The sequence below is a fragment of the Homo sapiens genome, chromosome 2 (assembly GCF_000001405.40).
Source record: "Homo sapiens chromosome 2, GRCh38.p14 Primary Assembly".
In the NCBI taxonomy this organism is placed as follows: domain Eukaryota; kingdom Metazoa; phylum Chordata; class Mammalia; order Primates; family Hominidae; genus Homo; species Homo sapiens.
In genome coordinates, this window is record NC_000002.12 from 194,399,029 (window position 1) to 194,420,880 (window position 21,852).

General features: G+C 32.7%; 1 long non-coding RNA gene across 1 annotated transcript in view; it reads left to right on the forward strand.

The window, feature by feature from the left end:
- The window catches only part of LINC01821 (long intergenic non-protein coding RNA 1821), a 75,363-nt gene extending 54,760 nt beyond the window's left edge, over window positions 1-20,603 (forward strand). Inside the window, exons 5-6 of the long non-coding RNA NR_110222.1 lie at window positions 17,168-17,390; window positions 20,280-20,603. This is a non-coding gene — a long non-coding RNA (long intergenic non-protein coding RNA 1821). The remainder of the gene's footprint in view (window positions 1-17,167; window positions 17,391-20,279) is intronic.
- Window positions 20,604-21,852: the final 1,249 nt, after the last annotated feature.

The following is a 21,852-nucleotide window of genomic DNA, read 5'->3' on the forward strand; positions in this document are numbered from 1 at the left end:
AAATAGCATGAAAAGAATAAAATAGTGTAAAAAGTTCATTTTTCTCAGCATTTTCACTAGCATTTGATATACATTTTTTTCTTTTTGATAATAGCCATTCTAACCAAGGGAAGATGATATCTCATTGTCATTTTGATTTGCATTTCCCTGATGATTAGAGATGCTGAGCATTTTTTTCATGTAATTGTTGTCCACTTGTATGTCTTTTGAAAACTGTCTATTCAGACCCTTTGCCCATATTTTAATTGAATTATTTTTTATTTTGCTGTGAAGTCAAGTTCCTCGTATTTTCTTGACGTTAGTCCTTTGTTGGATGAATCATTTGCAAATATGTTCTCATATTTAATCAGTTATCTCTTCATTCTGTTGATTGTTTCCTTTGCTGTGCAGAAGATTTTTGGCTTAACAAAAATCCCATTTGTGTATTTGTGCATTTGTTGCCTGTCCTTCAGAATCTTATTCATAGGTAAAATCTTTGCCCAGATCAATGTCCTGAAGCATTTCCCCTTTTTTTTTCCAGTAGTTAGTAGTTTTATAGTTTCAGCTTTTATATTTAAGTCTTTAATCCATTTTGAGTTTATTTGCATACTGTTGGTGGGAATGCAAACAGTGCAGCCTTTATGAAAAAGAATATGGTGATTTATCTAAAAATTACAAACAGAACTACCACACCACATCCAAAAAACTGAAACCAGGATCTCAAAAGATATCAGCATTCCTATGTTCACTGTAGCACTATTTACAATAGCCAACATGCGGAAACAACTGCAATGTCCAATGACTGATGAATGGATTTAAAAATGTGATGAATACATATATCGGGACAGTGGCTGGGTATAGGAAAAGAAAAATGGGAAATTGCTAATCAACAGGCATAAAGTTTCAATTATGCAAGTTTAAGAAGCTCTAGAGATCTGCTGTACATTGTACCTACTTTAAAAAATACTCTATTGTACACCTAATTTGCAAAAAGTGTAGATCTCACACTGTGTTCTCATCACAATAAAATAAAATTTAAAAAAATCCCAAAAAATACAAAATACTTTCACTTGTAAGTATGAAAAAGAATGGCACAAAGACTAGAGCAGAGTGCATCATACACAAATAACAGGAGACATCAAAGAGATAATGGGGCAGACTCTAACAATATATAGTAATGAAAATACTAGAAGCACTTATCTAAAATAGTGTGCGAAGTATTTTTTTTTAATTTCAGGCTAGCTGCATTACCTCCTAATTAGAATAGTGGCCAATCATGGGAAACATTGCAGGAATACTAATGTGCAATATATGAAAGCTCCTGGCAGGGTTAGTTTACTAGTAAGGGAGAAAAGAGCTAGAGTTGGAGTGAGAGTTACAGCAAGAATGAGTGAAAAAGACCAAAATATTCAAATATCCTAAGAAAACTGCTAAAGTTGAAAACAAAAATGTTACTAGCATGTCCATGGGGGAATCAGCTGCTTAAAAAGGAATGAGAACCCGAGTGACATCATATTCCTCATTTGTAAAATCATATTTCTTACCTATAAAACTGAATGTCAGAAGGAAGTAGAAACACTTAAAACAGCTATGAAATAAGAGATCTGAGACCAAGAATTTTATTTGTCATCAAGATATCAATTTAGATAAAGACAAACAGATATTTTTTAATGCAGTGTTTTAGAAAACATGTACAATTTTTGAGAAAATACCTCAAGGAAGCACCTCAATTTAATAAAAATTAAATCAAAGCAATGTTCTCAAGAGGATAGAAGAGGAAACTGATTAGAGTTCTCTAATAGATTATATTTTAAATGAAAAGTCAAGATTTGCTTTTTTAAGCAGGCAAAAATTCAATTAACATAAAACTGATTAAATTATTCATCAAATAGAATATAGAAGCTGAAATCATTTATGATGTACCAGGGGTAAGTACTTTTAAAAATCTCAGGCTAGATAAACTCTAATTTATTAAAAACAGTGATTTAATATAGGAGATATTATAGAAGTTATACTAATTTCAACTTGATAAAATTGGAATTCTCCCAGAAAGATAAATCAATATTATATGAAGAGTACAGATGTAACTGCAGCAAAAGTTTTAAGGCTTTTTTATACATATAAATAATCACTGTTATTAGACTTATATTATAGAAATTAAACAGCATAATTTAAACTGCTTTTATCAATATAAACTACTGTATTTAACTAATAAAAAATTTCAAACATTTGCCTATTACTTTCAAATACTGTATTTATCTTAGTTCATTTAAAATAAAATGGTATAATATAAAAATATTTTGTTGTATTCTTCAGACCTCACCAGGCTCTAAAATATTGTGTGCATTATTTTTTTCTGGCTCTGATAATCCTAACCTCTCTCAACTGTTTGCCAATTTTCTGTTTATGAAGTTGGCTTCTTTTAGTTTTAACATGTTGAGACAGTACACACAAAATTAGTTTGCAACACCTGGCCTAGAATATTTAGCTCATGAGAAATCCTGTCCCCAAATTATAATAATTTAAAGTCTTATCTCATAGCCGTGGTATAAAAACAAAGTCACCTAAGAGTGTTTTCATGAAAGTAGGTAAGAAAAGGTTTATTGATTACCCAAATATATGCAGTTCTCCAGTGAGCAGTGCCATTTCTGTTTGTAAGTCTTAGTCAGAAAAAAGATATGAAATGTACATTGTTGCCGAGAGCCCTTGACTTCTAGATCTGCTTTATACAGACTAGTTTTTAAAGTAGTAACTAAAATAACATCACTGTTCTAAAGAAATCAGCTGGCATAATTATATAATAAAGGTTGAGTACTTAACACAATTATGGTATTACTTTCTACTTTTAAATTTAAAGTTTAAATATTAACATCTGAAACACAAGTTGTTTTTATTTAATTCCATCTTTTTCCCAATGGTAGTTATATAGTTACTTGTCAAAAAAGAAGATATATTGACCTTTTTATAACATATTTATTCTGAAACTTATATTTTGTTCAAGAATTTGAGGTATACTAATTATACTGTAAGCAAAAAGGAATGTGTTAATAGAATCTAAAACACTTATGGAAAACAATAAATACCTACATTTCTGGAAGGAATGCTCTGACACCTCAGCAAAAGAGATTCATGGGATTTCTTGTTCTCTAACAAAATTTAGTGCTATCCATTCCCAACCCCACACAATTCCTGAAACTTAGCTCAATTTTTCATGTGAAATGGTATGATTTGCTCAGTCTAAATACAGATTGATTCCTCTAAGATCAAGCATTTACCTAATTCATTTTGCTATAACCCATGAGGCAAGATCAAGTTGTTCATAGCTACCTACTAGTAAGATCACATCGTCATATGAAATACCTGTATAATATTTGACATATCCTGTACATTGAAATTAAAATAAAAAGAATTTATTTTAATGGAAAATCTATTATATTTGAAATGCTTACATTAGAGATTATTTTGGTTAATTTTGTATCTTCTTTTTTTTAATTATACTTTAAGTTTTAGGGTACATGGGCACAATGTGCAGGTTAGTTACATATCTATACATGTGCCATGTTGGTGTGCTGCACCCATTAACTCGTCATTTAACATTAGGTATATCTCCTAATGCTATAATTCCCCCCTCCCCCCACCCCACAACAGGCCCCAGTGTGTGATGTTCCCCTTCCTGTATCCATGTGTTCTCATTGTTCAATTCCCACCTATGAGTGAGAACATGTGGTGTTTGCTTTTTTGTCCTTGCGATGGTTTGCTGAGAATGATGGTTTCCAGCTTCATCCATGTCCCTACAAAGGACATGAACTCATCATTTTTTATGGCTGCATAGTATTCCATGGTGTATATGTGCCACATTTTCTTAATCCAGTCTATCATTGTTGGACATTTGGGTTGGTTCCAAGTCTTTGCTATTGTGAATAGTGCTGCAATAAACATACGTGTGCATGTGTCTTTATAGCAGCATGATTTATAATCCTTTGGGTATATACCCAGTAATGGGATGGCTGGGTCAAATATTGTATATTCTAATGATCAAGACATGCAAAAATGAGTAAAACTGTGTTGTCTTATAATATTGCAGTATTACCTTAAAATACAATGTTTCATTGTGCTTCAAGAATTTACATAATAACGAAACATAAATGAGCTGACATTTTTATGCTGATTGAATCTCTTTTCTATCCAACTTTATCTTTCTATAAATCAAGTGTCTTGGATAGTAAGTATACAGGGTATTAAATCATTCTAATTCCATGTATAAATTAATGACACCCAAATTTTTAACTCTAGCACTTTCTTTCCCTATAATATCTAATTGCCTACTCAATATAACTAGCTAAATTTTAATAAGGATGTAATTTAATATGCCCAAAATCAAAGTCTTATTTCACCAACAAAACGATCTTCTCATAGTTTTCTCTACTTAATTAAATATCAGACTCCCCACACAATGTCTTAGCAAGTCATGCAGGATCTCTTCCCTTAAAATGTGTCAAATATAAGATTAACCCCCTTCACTGCTAGTATTCTATTCCAAGAAACAATAATATTTTACTTGGACTTTTCAATTCTAACTGACCTCCATGCTTCCATTGTTGTACATCCCTAGTTGCTTCAAGATGCAACAATCAGAATGATATTTTTAAATACAGATTGGATCGTGTCACTCCTCTCTCTACTCAGTAGCCAATAGGGTTTTCCTTTTTTTTGGATTTAACTTTGAACTTCTAACCATGTCTTACAGGATTTCTGTGATCTGTGCCCTGATACTACTTTTTTTCCTTCCCCTCCCTCTGACAGTGTGTGTTGTTCCCATCTATGTGTCCATGTGTTCTCATCATTTAGCTTCCACTTATAAATGAGAACATGAAGTATTGATTTTCTGTTCCTACCCTAGTTTGCTAAGGATGATGGCCTCCAGTGTCATCCATGCCCCTACAAAGGACATAATATTGTTTCTTCTTTTTTTTTTAATACTTTAAGTTCTGGGAAATGTGCAGAACATGTAGGTTTTTTACATAGGTATACACGAACCATGGTGGTTTGCTGCACCCATCAACCCGTCATCTATATTAGGTATTTCTCCTAATGCTATCCCACCCCGACCCCACCCCAACAGGCCCCAGTGTGTGATATTCCCCTCCTTGTGTCCATGTCCATGTGTTCTCATTTTTCAACTCCCACTTTTGAGTGAGAACACATGGTGTTTGGTTATCTGCTCCTGTGTTAGTTTGCTGAGAATGATGGTTTCCAGCTTCATCCATGTCCTTGGCAAAGGACATGAACTCACCCTTTCTTAGGCTGCATAGTATTCCGTGGTGTATATGTGCCACATTTTCTTTATCCAGTCTATCATTGATGGGCATTTGGGTTGGTTCCAAGTCTTTGCTATTGTGAACAGTGCTGCAATAAACATACGTGTGCATGTGTCTTTATAGTAGAATGATTTATAATCCTTTGGGTATATATCCAGTAAGAGGATTGCTGGGTCAAATGGAATTATTGGCACTAGACCCTTGAGGAGTCGCCACACTGTCTTCCACAATGGTTGAACTAATTTACAGTCCCACCAACAGTGTAAAAGCATTCCTATTTCTCCACATCCTCTCCAGCATCTGCTGTTTTCAGACTTTAATGGTCACCATTCTAGCTGGTGTGAGATGGTATTTCATTGTGGTTTTGATTTGCATTTCTCTAACGACCAGTGAAGATGAGCTTTTTTCATACGTTGGTTGGCTGCATAAAAGTCTTCTTTTGAGAAGTGCCTGTTCGTATCCTTCACCCACTTTTTGATGGTGTTGTTTTCTTCTTGTAAATTTGTTTCAGCACCTTGCAGATTCTGGATATTAGCCCTTTGTCAGATGGATAGATTGCAAAACTTTTCTCTCATTCTGTAGGTTGCCTGTTCACTCTGATGATAGTTTCTTTTGCTGTGTAGAAGCTCTGTAGCTTCATCAGATTCCATTTGTCAATTTTGGCTTTTGTTGTCCTTGTTTTTGGTGTTTTAGTCATGAAGTTTCTGCCCATGCCTATCGCCTGAGTGGTATTGCCTAGGCTTTCTTCTAGGGTTTTTATGGTTTAGGTCTTATGTTTAAGTCTTTCATCCATCTTGAGTTAATTTTGTATAAGGTGTAAGGAGGGTATCCAGTTTCAATTTTCTGCATATGGCTAACCAGTTTTTCCAACACCATTTATTAAATAGGGAACTCTTTCCCCATTGCTTGTTTTTGTCAGGTTTGTCAAAGATTAGATTGGTGTAGATGTGTGGCATTATTTCTGAGGCCTCTGTTCTGTTCCATTGGTCTATGTATTTGTTTTGGTACTAGTACCATGCTGTTCTGGTTACTGTAGGCTTGTAGTATAGTTTGAAGTCGGGTAGTGTGATGCCTCCAGCTTCATTCTTTATGCTCATGATTGACTTGGCTATATGGGCTCTTTTTTGGTTCCATATAAAATGTAAAGTAGTTTTTTATAATTCTGAAGGAAGCACTAAATATGGAAAGGAAAAACTGGTACCAGCCACCGCAAAAACATACCAAATTGTAAAATCCATCAAGAGTATGAAGAAACTGCATCAACTAATGGTCAAAATAACCAGCTAGCATCATAATGGCAGGATCACATTCACACATAGCAATATTAACCTTAAATGTAAAAGGGCTAAATGCCCAAATTACAAGACACAGACTGGCAAATTGGATACAAGACCTATCAGTGTGCTGTATTCAGGAGACACATCTCATGTGCAAAGACACACATAGGCTCAAAATAAAGGGATGGAGGATTATTGACCAAGCAAATGGAAAGCAATAAAAAGCAGGGGTTGCAATCATAGTCTCTGATAAAACAGACTTTAAACCAACAAAGATAAAAAAAGACAAAAAGGGCATTACATAATTATATATTTTACATAATGGTAAAAGGACCAACGCAACAAGAAGAGCTAACTATCCTAAATATATATGCACCCAATACAGGAGCACCCAGATTCATAAAGCAAGTTCTTAGAGACCTAGTAAAAGACTTACACTCCCACACAATAATAGTGGGAGACATTAACACCCCACGGTCAATATTAGACAGATCAATGAGACAGAAAATTAACAATGATATTCAGGACTTGAACTCAGCTCTGGACCAAGTGCACCTAATAGACGTCTACAGAACTCTCCACCCCAAATCAACACAATGTACATTCTTTTCAGCACCACATTGCACTTATTCTAAAATTGACCACACAATTGGAAGTAAAACAATCCTCAGCAAAGGCAAAAGAACAGAAATAATAACAGTCTCTCAGACCACAGTGCAATCAAATTAGGACTCAGGATTAAGAAACTCATTCAAAACCACACAACTACATGGAAACTGAACAACCTGCTCCTGAATGACTACTGGGTAAATAATGATATGAAGGCAGAAATAAAGATGTTCTTTGAAACCAATGAAAGCAAAGACACAACATACCAGAATCTTTGGGACAGAGGTAAAGCAATGTTTAGGGGGAAATTTATAGCACTAAATGCCCGCAGGAGAAAGGGGGAAAGATCTTAAATCGACATCCTAACATCGCAGTTAGAAGAACTAGAGAGGCAAGAGCAAACAAATTCAAAAGGTAGCATAAGAGAAGAAATAACTAAGATCAGACCAGAGCTAAAGGAGACAGAGACATGAAAAACGCTTCAAAAATCAATGAACCCAGGAGCTAATTTTTTGAAAAGATTAACAAAATAAATAGACCATTAGCCAGATTAATAAGGAAGGAAAGAGAGAAGAATCAAATAGACACAATAAAATATAATAAAGGGGCTATCACCACTGATCCTACAGAAATACAAACTACCATCAGAGAATAATATAAACACCTCTATGCAAATAAACTGGAAAATCTAGAAGAAATGGATAAATTCCTGGACACATACACCCTCCCAAGTCTAAACCAGGAAGAAAATACATATTCAATCACAATCAAATGGATGTTTCAAAAGTGGAGCAATTTGAGTGTCAGATATTAACATAGATTATTCTTGTTTTTCACCAGGTTTACTTCAAGTTTAACATAAGTTTATAGAGTTGCGCTAAAGGGAAGCATTTTTGAAAAAGTAAAATAAAATAGAATAAAAGCATCACCACTGTATAAAGTTCCTTGGTTTTGCTTTATTCCTAATCATATTATTGAGAGTTGTCTTTCATCTCTGAATTTATATTGTTGTTACTCTGTAGTTCAATTATTTGCTCCATAATACCTATAGTCCCCCATCTGTAAAATGGTGCTAATAATCTTATCTAATATTTTGTTGAGTTGATGTGAGAGTTAAATGGAAAAACGCTTGTAAAATACTCAGCATAATGTCCTGCACATAAGAAGCACAGGATAAATTTTAGCTTTCACTTTTCCAGCTTGTTATCTGTACTCTTAATCACAGTACGAAACACAAGGAAGTCTTTCTAATTTTATGAAGGCCTTGATAGGCTAATTTTATTTTTAGAAAATATCTCATTTCCTCTTCTATGCATATCTATGAAGAAACTTCTAAAATCATTCATATATGCATGATTTGAATGCTAAGGTACAGCATATAAAAAAGCTGGGTTAATTTAGCATCTCATTCTCATATAGCTATTGAAGAGAAACAATCTTTAGAGTATAGAATAATGGATTATGGATAGATGAATAAATCTGAGTATTTAGAGAGAGGAATAAATCTGAATCTCCTTGACATACTGTCTTCACTGTTTGCCGAATGAAAGATGGCTCTCTTATTTACTTAGAAGCCCTAATTTTAAAACTTTCAGAAAACCTGTATTTTCCTGGAGAAACTAGCTCCTGAGCAACATACGATGAGGATACTTTCACCAATTAGAAAACCCAAACACTGTATTTTTCATTTCAATTTGTTCACAGATACAGCTGGGATAAAAATCTTTTTACTTACAAGAAATGCTTTATTTTGCCCACGAATTATTTGCTATTCACTGGGATGATATACAGTATACATTATAACGTATAATTTGGCTTCTCAGGCTTATTTTCTTTTCATTATAATTTTATCTGTATTCTAGAGAACTGAGTTTTCAATTAAGTACTTTTCCATTTTACTTATTTGTGCCTATTTTGTATTTTGTATTCTGTATTTGTGCCTATTTTGTCCACTCATTTGTTCATATGTTTTTCCTCTTAACAAACAGAGCATTCATGCCTTTGAGTTTCCAGAGACTTTTTTTCAAATAATAAAATTTCAGACATGGCATAGCTTTTAACGACAATTGAGTTTAATATTTTTATATTATAGATAAAAAACTGAAGTCCAGTGAGGTTAAATATTTATTGAGGCCAAAAAGCAATTAGTTATTCAGTTTGTTCACTTTTTTCTGGACTATAACATAAGCATACAGGTGTACCAGTTTTGCTTGAATATGTATTTTCTAGGCTTTGCTCTCTTCTTCATCATCATCACTACTGCCCCACATCAGTCCTAATCTTCTCTCTTTTTTTTTTTTTTTTTTTTTGAGATGGTGTCTCACTCTGTTGCCCAGGCTGGAGTGCAGTGGCACAATCTTGGCTCACTGCAGCCTCCACCTCCCAGGTTCAAGCAATTCTCCTGCCTCAGCCTCCTGGGTAGCTGGGACTGCAGGCATGCGCCACCACGCCTGGCTAATTTTTATATTTTTAGTAGAGATGGGGTTTCGCCATGTTGGCCAGGCTGGTCTCGAGCTCCTCACCTCAAATGATCCACCCGCCTCGGCCTCCCAAAGGGCTGGGATTACAGGCATGAGCCACTGCGCCTAGCCTAGGCCTAATCTTCTCCGGTGAAGCCTAGAGCAATTTTATCTTAACAAATCTTCCTACCCCCACTTGTAGTGCCTCATGACTATAAAATATATTGATGCTGTAACACCTCTCTTCTTATAATATTAGATTAAGCAGGAGCGTTTACGAAGCAGAACCGAAACCAAAAACAATATATGTTACTTCATATGTTTACACATTTTAAAATCCCCTAAGGAATACTCTATAATAAACAAAAGCCAAAGATGAATGATATAATTAAAAAATGCATTGTATTTAGTATATGACTGATGTCCTTAATTTACAAAGAATTCAATGAAAGAAAAAAATCAGGGGTAGTAAGTAAAAATAAGAAAAATATGTGGACTAGGTATTAAAAACATGGAGATATGAATTAACAATCCGTTGTCATTTTCTTGTCCTACAATGTTTATCTGGTTGTGTTCAGTTCATCTTTATAAAACCCTATGAGTTGTGTGTTATTCTACCCAATTTACATCTGATGACAATTAATCTCAGAGTTTAAGTAATTTGTCCAATGTCATCATGTCCTGGATAGTTCATGTGTATATGGTTGTCTTGGCCAGGACATTACCATATGAACATTGTTCTATATGACCTTTTCTAACATAGGACATCATTATGTTACAAGTGGTCAGTAAGGCTGAGATACTGTGGAGATATCAGTGATACTTTTTATGACACCAATCCTCAATGTTCATTGTCCAAAAGGTTTTGTTGGTGAGCAGGGTGGAATTGGGTGGAGGGAGCTTACTTCTGGAACTTACGCCTGTCTTTTTCTACCCTCTTGTTTCCAGAGAGTATGACACAAAATTTTGTTCCTTTTCATACCCAGAAGCCACAGAAAGTCTGATGATGTCAATGTATAGATGATAGCTGTGAAAGATAATAGAGAGATGAAAAAGAGAGTAGATGATAGGTAGATGGAAAGATATAGAGACAGATTTTTAAATATAAAACATCTTATACATTTGATGGGGTAATTCTCTTAGCTGAGGTATTATTGAATAGTTTAATGATATCTTCTTATTCCCATGGATCAAAATACATCTTACAATCTTGAAAAGCCAGTCCCTGTGCTTTGGGAATTTCTAGCAGTCAGAAATTTAATGATCAATCAAAATTTGGGCCTTAATGAATCATGATCTATTACGTATTTTTCTCACAGTGATTCAGGATGCTGTTTCCAGATGACAATCATCAAAAAAAAAGTAAATAAATAAATACGTTAAAATTTGTCAAGATGATTTAGTAGTCAAGAACTTTTTAAACTTTTTTATTATATTTAGTTTTGATACTGCCATACATTTTAATAGCTGACACTAAATTAACTGCTAATTTAAAAATTTTTTAATTATTTTGTATTGACTCTCATAGACATTATTAATCTATGTATACACATAATTTTGAATAGTTCATGATTAAATGTAATTTCCTTTCTCATGGTCACAAAAAGGTATTGTAATTGACTATTTTTGTTTGGAATCTGGCAACAAATATCAGTTCTAACATCTTATTTCACAGGCTTTACTGTCCATCATTTATGTGCTGAATCCAATTGTAAAATTAGCTTAGATTATATAAAAAGAAAACAACTTGAGTGAGGAAAAGTAAGAATAAAAGTATGAAGTCAAAAACTTTAAAAAAAAAGTTTACAAGTTATTTTTGTCACCAAAGTAAACAATAAAATTTTACCTAAATTTGATAGATGTAATTCTCTCAGTGACATTTCTTATTCAATCACGTATTATAATATTTTGTTCTTTTATTTTCAAAAAATCATTTCTCATTATCAGTATTTTTTAAAGGAGGTGGAAGATCATTTGATATATGTCTGATATGATTTGCATAAAAATGACATCAGAAATAATTGAAGACTTTTTCTTTAAAATTTATATAAATCATCTTATGAAAATTGTTTTTAATTAACACTAATTTCAATATGGTTTCTAAAGCTAAAAACTTTGGACCTTTTTTAAAAATTATGTATTTTTAAGGTTTACAATAATATAAGTTTTGAAAAGTAATCTAATATTAACATGTCATACCTACCAGAGATCAGCAACTTATCCTAAAATTCCTAACAATCCAAAAGGAATACACAAATCACTGCGTCACACAATTTTTCATAAATTCAAATTATTTTCTCCACATAAGATATTTTAAAATGTAAACACACGATGAAGTAGCAGTTTCATTTAATCTTATTTAATTTCAATACTAGATGGAGCAGCCACCAACAGTATTACCAATGTCTCAGGCATGCAGAGGAAATTTTTCTCTTTGTGTTCTGGTTGACTGCTTCCCACCTCTTTGCACACCTGTAGTATTATAAACTCGTAAATGCAAAATTACATCACATCCCCTCTTCTGTAACTTCTCCCCAATCAAAGCAGATACAATAGAATGAAAGTAACCATCTCCCATGGTAACATCCCTCCAACAGTTTATCAGCTCACTATGGTGTCATACTATCCAATAATTTCAATGCAAAAATATCTTTACAAATGGGTCCTGAAGATTCTTTACACCATGAAAATCATTAGCAAGGATAATTAACTGAGACTGCGGTGATGAATAGAGCTGCATTACTGATCAGTGTAATAAAGAACAGAAGCCACTAATTACAGATAGAGCCTCGAAGCTACTGAAAAACGTAATTTAACATTGCTGCCTGGATTCCACAAGGCCAGATATAAGTTTGCAATTAAAACAATAAGGTCTTCCAACAGATAATGCTTTTGGGACCAATCCAGGTGTAAGAAAATGTGCCCATCTGCATGGAGTGCCTTGGATCTAGTAGGGATTGTGCCTTAGGAAAAACATTTAAAAAATTAAAACTCCCTAAACATTTTGTTAGGTATTGTTATTACAATCCTGGCCTTCTATCACGTTGTCAGGTAATTTCTTTGAATTTTTAAAAGATTAAAAAGAATTTAGAAGAACATGTAGTATAAAAATAGCATAAATATAACAAAGCTGTAGGTCCAAAGAGTCACTTAGAATTGTGTGTTTCTTAGATACAAGAAAGACATTATTTCAACTGCAGAGAAAGTAGTAAGCTGTGGAGCAGTGTTTTCAAAAATACTTGACTTTAAGAATTATATGAGGTCCTTGTTACAATCCAGATTCCTGGGGAGTACCTGGGCAACTATAATATAATCTCAAAGGGGAGGACCTGGGATATTGATTTCAGTGACAGCTCTAGATGATTATCAGCAGACAAGTTTGAGTGCAGTGGAAACAAATGGGATTTGGGGTTTTAACATTGGTTCTTTGAATGTTGGATCTGCCATTTTATAGCCATATATCCTATTGGGAGCTATTCTTTCTGAGTCTGTTTCTTTATTTTTAGAATATGAAAATATATCAAATTCATCAGGTATAATACTTAAGTTTCAAGTGCGTATGCATTTCCTATTAATGTGTTTGTACATAGTAGACAAGCAGCCAAATATCAGTTCCCTCCCACTTTCTTCTTTGCTGTATTTGACAGAGTATTTTACCTTTATGGTTTTTTTTTAAATTCAGTGAATATACAGTCTCACTAACAGTGATTCATGCAGTGAGAGTCACATTGAAGAAAATGAAGCTATGAGAATATTACCTGCTTCGCAACTTAAAGCACCTCAAAGTATATATGAATATCTCATGCACTTAATCCCACTGTAAAGAAGAGGGAGTAAGAAGACAGACTTTCACTGCTATGTCAGCCCACCGTGTTTTACAGCACCAGATGCGCAAATTGCCTAGACAGCCTGCCTTCTTCTATTACAGTATTGGAATGTGGTAGCTGGTATATTCTCCAGTCGTAAGTCAAGAGAATTTTAGCATAAAGTAGGGGTTTCATATATTTATATAAAATGCTATTTGGTAAAATTCTACAGGAGCTAGAAATTTCCCAGAATATGTCAGATAAGACGTATTATTGGGAAATTTTAATCCTTTAAGAGTTTTCCTACATAATTTGAAATATTCTGTATTTAGAAATAGTTTCTCAATATTACTACATTCATAAAACATAAGAGCATGTCTTGGATTCTAATACTATAATTTAGTGTCTGACTCAAAGAGACGATAAAAAATCCTTATCACAAGTTATTGTATATGATTATCTTCTAGTAGCATTAAGATGATAACTGATATAATAGCCTCCCAAAAATTCAACTGTAACATCCATGCTGTAAAGAAGTTTCCTTTTTAGAAAAAAAAAAAAATGGTAATCTTATTTTCAAAAAGTCTAGTTTTCAATCTTGACTTTTAATCATATATCTTATTCACCTAAATATTTATTCCTGGCACACATATGCTTCTGAGCTAGGCCAATTGGGGAATATTAAAATTACACACAGAAAAGATCATACAGATCATCAATTCTATAAGTATTACATATACCTTTTAATTAAATGGCTAAAAGTTTGACTATGAAATATATAACAATATAAATTTAGAGGAGGACTCAACTATATACAGTATGGCTGACCAGTCATGTACTATAATGCTTTACAACTAATTTAATGGCATAACCAATTAGAGGTTAACAATGCAAACAGAATATTTCAGAGCCTTGGATTTGCATTTACGTAATTTCTTGATGTACATACTCAAGGGTCACATTAAGCCCTCTCCAAAATGAAATCAAACAAAAGATAAATAAATAATATATTGTTATTCTTTAGTTTTTTATTCAGCATTTCACAATATTAACATCAAATTATTTTATCTTTTGGCAATAAAGATTTCATTCATGTATGAAGCTGCTTTTCAGTGTTCAGCATACCAGTTTGTCTCTTATTAAACTGGCTAGTTTAAAATCTATTAGACCTCTTCCATTCTGAAGAGGAATGCACAATTTTCAGCCATAGATTTATTCATAAATATTACAGACTGTCTTGGAAGATAGAAAACAGAGAAAAATGTAGTAGTCAAGGCATAGCCTTAACATTTGAAGTAAAAAAAAAAAAAAGAACTAGAGTTGCAAACAGAATATCGTCTTCCTATTTGCTAAGAGTTATTCTTTACCCACAAACATTACTACTTTATCTCTCTCCTAGACTTAATGATTAATACAGATCCAAGTTTTAAAAATGAAAAAATAGAAATAAAAATAAAAGGGTGGAAGTTATGAATAATAGCAGGAAACTTAGGTATCTGAGGTAAAATAATTGAATTGGACATAAAGCAAAACTTTGAGCTTTCCAGAAGTCTTAAAAGTCGTAAGAATAAATAAGAGCATTGCATGCTCTTGGCTTTAGGTCTTTTCTAAAAGTGCCACTTTATAGCTACCTATCTTACTATTATCTCACAGATAATTTATATGTCGGTTGAAGGAAGGCACATTACAGAGATATGTCAATGTATCGTTGCCCTTCCAAAGCTAAGTCTTTTTTTTTTAAAGCCAAATATGAAAACCTAGTGGCTAGTACATAGTAAATATTCAATAAATGTCAGCCACTCCTCAATGCCTCAATTTTCTTTACTTGTTCTTATTTTATATCTGAAACTAATCAAACTATTATTTGGAGATTTCTCTAAGTGTTGAAATAACATTTGATAGAAATACATCTCAGAAGTGGTTGTGTGTTAACACCAATAGTATACTGCTTATGCCCCTAGACATCAAGATAAAACACCTCTGAGAGACCCGCTGATTACCATATCCAATTAGTTTGAATACTGTAATTAAATCTTTGGCAGTTTATTATTTGAAATCTCAAGTTAAACTATACAATAAAAAATTTAGAAGTGCTTGTAGGAACAGTGAATAGCATTGCTTGAGAAGAATGTGAAACTACTGAGATTAAGACACTCATTAAAGAGTAAGAAGATTAAGAAGTAGACAAAACTAAACAAGAGTCTAGAGTCAGGAATTAAATAGTTCCCCATCACTACCACACACCTCCAATGTGTAATAGAAAAATATATTTAATCCAATTAGTATTATATTAAGCAGTCACTAATTATAAAGAAAGCGTTTTGAATTTTGGTTACATACAAAAGCCAAAACATCCTTTTATACACCTACGTAATGTTTTTATTTATTTTACGTTTAAAATGACTACAATATTAAAAAAAAAAACACTTGAGCAATAGAAGAAGGTAAATTATGGGAAAGGAAATAGAAAGTAAGGGTAAGGGTTAAGACTAGCTCATAGAAATGCCTACCATAAAGTCCTGAGTAGGTGCAGAGATGTACCAAAATGTTTTCTCTCAACTTCCTAATGGTCAAAGCAATCAGGATGAAATTTAGAAACACAGTGTCTAAAATATTAGGGAAGTGAGGAGGGATGGGAGCCAGTTGTTTAAAAGATATATAGCTTTTGCTGATAGTGAGGCTTGAGAGGAATTTCTCCTTGGGGATACTGTAAAGAGGAAGCTATTCCATACATTGACTGCTGTTCTCAGTAACATCTACACAAAAGGAAAGCTAGCGAGTTCTTATGATGTTTTTTGATGTCCAGAAGGTAAACTGGTGGTGAATGCTCAATTGCGATTTAGTAAAAACAAATCTGTCAGGGCCAAAACATTGCCATTCAAGTATACAGCTCCCTGGTGGTTTCAAATCTAGATTTATTCCTTTGGGATTTAAGAGGAAATGGTGTTTTCCTGTGTACAGAGGGCACTCATTGTGATGGGCAGAATGTCTTTATTTTATTCCTTTTAAAGTTACAGTATTAAAAAATAAGAAAAGGTAATTCCTCAAATTAAACTCCAGTCGAAGCAATGCCATACTTCTGTAAAGAATGTCAAACAGCATGATGGTTTAATGATCAGTTCTCTGGAAAGGGAATCACCATGGGAAATTTCTGTTTTGATTTTTTTCTTCCTGAGGCCAGAGCTGTAGTAACATTTTTATCTGGCCTTATTCTCTATCAAGGTTCACTTTGAAAACTTCAAAGGCCATGTTTGGAAAATGAAAATAGCTCTCATTTTTATTCATTTTCATTTCAGACCAGCATGTAAAAATGGCAATCCTTTTAATCCCAGGGAAAAATGCTTTTAGACAAACCATGTAGGTGTTCTTTTTTTCCAGGAATAAATTAAAACTAATGTATGAGGAACTATTATAGATAATGCATTGACACAGTAGGCCACTAAAAACAGAAAAGGTAGAAATCATAATAGCTCTATACCAATTTAAACTTTATGTGTCTAAGATATGACACATTTAATGGAAGCCTTGAGGGCAAAAATGAAATTAAATAATATACACAAAGATGAAGGATCTAATTTTTCCTTTTAATAAGTTATTTTACATGTTATTAGAGACCGTAAAATAGTAATAGATTGATGTAGGGTACTGATATTTTATATAAAATACATTCCTGTTTTATGACCACATGTTAGTCTTGATCTTTTTCTTGTACCATGAAGGAACTACTGCTCTAAGGAAAAAAGGACAGCTACATGAGGACCACACAACTCCTGGAAGAGGTTTCCCTGGCAACACAACTTTTCCATTCATCTGGTTGCAGTGTTTTCATCCAGTAGCCTGTCACCTCACTCAAAAGCAGGGCAATGGAGAGAAAGAAACTTACCAAGTTTTTTCTTTTAACTAGAGAGTAGCCTACTTATTGGGCCCTGCAATTAATTTCAGGTAACCAAGCATATGTCCCAGTATACCTTGCTTTATGATTACTTATATGGCTGTAAAATTTTCTTGAGAAAGATAATTTCTTAGAGTACATTTTTAATATAAAATTATCAGATTTGCCTTTCATTCCTACCTGAACCACCTTGCATATTTTTAGTCAGCTAGTATGTAATTTTTTACAAGTTTATATATTCTTTATATAAAGAACAAAATCTCCAAGATGGTATTCATACTGTACTGTGCCACAACTTACTAGATAGCACATAAATCTATAGAAAACTTTTATATTTGAAGCAAACATCCATAAATATAAATTAATATTCTTTGGTTTCCATAGATATTAACTTAGTCTTTAAAATTTATTAAAAATTTTTCCTGAATGCTTTTTAACTCTGTATGCATTTTTAATTAATATATAATCCAAGATTAATGTAATTTCTGTAACTCCTAAGACAGCCTCATAATCATATTTAAGCTCTAGATTTTAAAGTTAGCCTAAACAGTATACAATATAAAGATGGCATGCATTTTATAAATATAAAATAATACACTATTTAAAATAGAAGGAGAACCAGGCAGAGGTTCACAATGCCTTATTCAGAATTCTAAATTCCTATATCTTTGAGAACCAAAATGTTATTCATTTAATGGTTAAATCTGATTTGAGTTGACTAGGATGCTATATATAGTCTTTATAATCACATTATTTTGAATATCCATATATTTCACTGTCAAAATATGTGGCCACTCACATGTTTCAAGGGATATATAATATACACAGCATTACTTCCCTGAAATACCAAAACCTCTGACTTTTGTTCCCAAGTTTCAGTAGACATAAATAGACACGTCACTATGGACAGAGAAAATTTGCATATTGAAATAGAGTAATTGCTTTTAACACACTGAATAAAATAATAATTCATGAATCCAAACTGATATACACAACAAAGAAATAGGTAAGGAAAAAGAGAGAGCTCTTCCTTATGATAGGAAGATAGCTATGTTTATATCCATATAGATATAGATACATAGATATGGAAATATACAAGTGGAATTAGAAAATACTCAATGGTTGCTAATAACAACTGTTGGTAAACATTTGATGAGCATCAAACTTTTCTAGCAGTTTCAAATTACATTTCTTTTTTCTTATAAATCCAAAAGTTAAAATTTATAACTTTATAGTGGAGAAACCTAGTAGACACCAACTTAAGAACCTGACATTTAGCATCACTAATACTGAGAAAAATCAGTTTTATATTCCTTTTGATTTCATTTACTGAGAACAAAAGAAAAAATATCACTTCCAGAGCATTCTCACTAAAAATGTATAAAGTAAATCTAATCATGAAAAAATACCATATAAATCCAGATTGAGGGACAGTCTACAAAATAACTGACCTTCACTTCTCAAAAATAATTTCAAAATAAGGAAAGACAAAGAAAAATTGAGGAATTGTCTCAGTTTACAGTAGATACATGACAAATAAATGTCATTCCACTTCATATAATTTTGATGCAGATAAAATAAGCATTCACCTCCTTAAAGAGAAAGCAGTAAGAGACATTATTTAGTCAGGGAAGTTATAAAGTGTTCCTTCTGTGGCTAATAATCATTGGAAACAGTGGAGGAAAGAAGAAGAGAGAATGTGAATGTAATAAAAGAAAATTAAAGCGAGTAAAAGAAAAAAATACAGGCAAGTCTGGTAAAAGAATTAAAAGTCATCTAAAAATATTTAGTCCTAGATACCCAAGAAACAACTAAGTTATTGTATTACAGTATAGAACATAATTGGTTTTAGCCAATATAAAAATATTTCAAATAATTTTGAAAGATTTAAATGACTCAGCAATCAAAATGTTTAAAGCGTACAAACATAAAGTACCTTTGAAGTACTTAAGTAAAACGTGCATGTTTTATGAGAAGCAGCCCCTTCAATAGCGTGCAATGTGTATGTGTCTCAAACATATTTTCCTGATAAGAGATTTTTGTCATGAGGAATTTTTCGATGGGACTGTCATGCTGGTTTTAGTTTAAATAAAAATCAAAGGAGAGTGAAAGAATGTTAGGAAATTTCCTCTGCAATAAAATTGTTTGTTATCTTTTAACTAAGAATTAAGCAAACCAGAAAAACAAAGCATTTCTCCGATAAATACAAACTAATTAAGGGTAACCTATCAAGTAAAAGTTAGAGCTGCCTAACATAATTAATTTTTAAACTTTTCACTTTGAAATAAGTATGGATTCATCCTGCATACTCTTCACCTAATTTTCTCCAATGATTACATTTTATATAACTATAGTACAGTATCAAAGCCAGGGACTTAACATTTGTACACTGCATGTGTGTATGCTTGTAAGTCCTTACAGCAATTACTTAAAGTTCAGTGATATTAATATTAATATTTCATATTCTTAAGATTTACTAAAGATAGCTCCAAATCTGTTTAAATAGTGATTAATATTCACTAAGTATAGGCAATACATTTTTAACAAAATTGCCACATTTTATTGTTTACTTAATTTTAAATATCTATACCTTAAATGTATATACACTAAATATATTTAGATGTTAGAGATGCAGCTGTGACAAGAGACAATAATCCTTGCTTACTAATATTATCGTGTGTATGTGTATGTGTGTGTGTGTGTGTGTGTGTGTGTATGAAAATAAAAATAAAGTATACAAAATGGGTCAGATACTATTAAATCCTATGGGGGGAAAAATACAGTGAGGAAGGAGGAAGTGAAATGGTTAAGTAATGGTGCAATGTTATATAAGTGAGCAAGGAAGGATTAGCAGATAACTGTGTAAAGACCTGAAAGAACTGAGAGAACTAACTGTGGTTTTTGTTGTTTGTTTGTTTGTTTGTTTGTTTGTTTTTAAGTACTCCAGGCAGATTTATAAAGGAAGCTGCTGGAAGGAATTCATTCCCTTTTTGCTGTTCTGCCTTCCACCTTCCACTGTGTGAGGACACTGCAAGAAAGCCCTCATCAGACACCAACTGCCAGCACCTAGATCTTGGAATTCTCAGCCTCCAGAACTGTGAGAAACACGTTTCTGTTTTTCTATAAAATAATAATAATAAAAAACTTCCATGCAGGAAAAAAAATCAAGTTCAAAGGTCCTGTGGTGAGGGCATACCAGCTTTGTTTGAGAAGCAGTAATCATGCCTGTGTGACTGTAATGAAAGAATAAAAGAGAAATGAGCACAGAAGAATATAATGTAGTCCTTTTCATTTTAAGCAAGAAATTTGGCTTCAATTCTAAATGTGATAAGAAAAAAACAGAAGGTTCCAAACTGAGAAGTGACATAATATGAAATGTTTTAACAGAATCACCTTGTTACCATATTGCAAATAAAATGAAAGTGCATCAAGGGCAGAAGTAGGAAGGCAAGTTATGAGGTCATTTTGATAATCCAGAGGAGCTGGGATGATGACTTACAGCAGTATAGTAGCAAGGGTTGGGTGAGAACGTGGAATCCTGGGTATATATTAAAGTTTCAGCAAAAAGGATTTATAGATGAAACAGATATGGGTTATGAGAAAGAGTCAAGTTAAAGATTATATCAAAATTTTTTATCTGAACAACTGGTAGTATTGTGGTGAATCCTTACCCCATCAATTTACGTGACCGATAACTGAGTGGGAACATTAAGGAAGGGATGGTTTGAGTGAGAATCAGGATCTCAGTTTGGAAATATTAAGTTGAATATGCCTATTTAATAATCAAATGAAAAATAGTATTTTTGTAATTTTCAGTATTTATTTGGCAAGAGATTAAATAATCTATAGCATTGTTACTACTTTCTCTTTTTCATAAAAGTTATTTTGGTATAAAATCAACCTGACTGGGAACTATCCAAATATATAAGCCTTTAGCTTTGACCTATTACTTATATTTTTTTGCCATTAATAATATGAACATCCACTAAACAAGAACTTGAGACTATAACTCTTCTCTATTAAATCTTCATATTAAATTAGCCATTTAAATAGGATTATTATTTTCATTTATTGCTGAATACTTTCCATTACATTCAAACTTATTGAGACATCCTTAAATTTTGTAATTTATTTAACGGATTAATTCCTTAGCTTCTAAACTGGTTTTCTGTACGGCAACCCTATTTTCTTCTTAATAACTCATCATCTACATCCCCCAATGTCTTATTTTTCCAAAACAAAAGTGCACTAATGCCCTTCTAGGGCAAAAATTTCTTTAATGGCTTTCTATTGTTATAGATAAAGTTCAAACTTATTATGACGGCCTATAATTTTGGGGAAAAAACTCACCTAAAAACAGTTTTTAAAAGATTAGAATTCAAATGCTTGAAATTTCAGTTATTTTATGAGCTTTCTATTCAAACATTTCAGGGAGCTAAGACATTACATACTACACTACTACTACTACTACAAATAATAATAATAACAACAATTATAGTTACTCATCTCAGT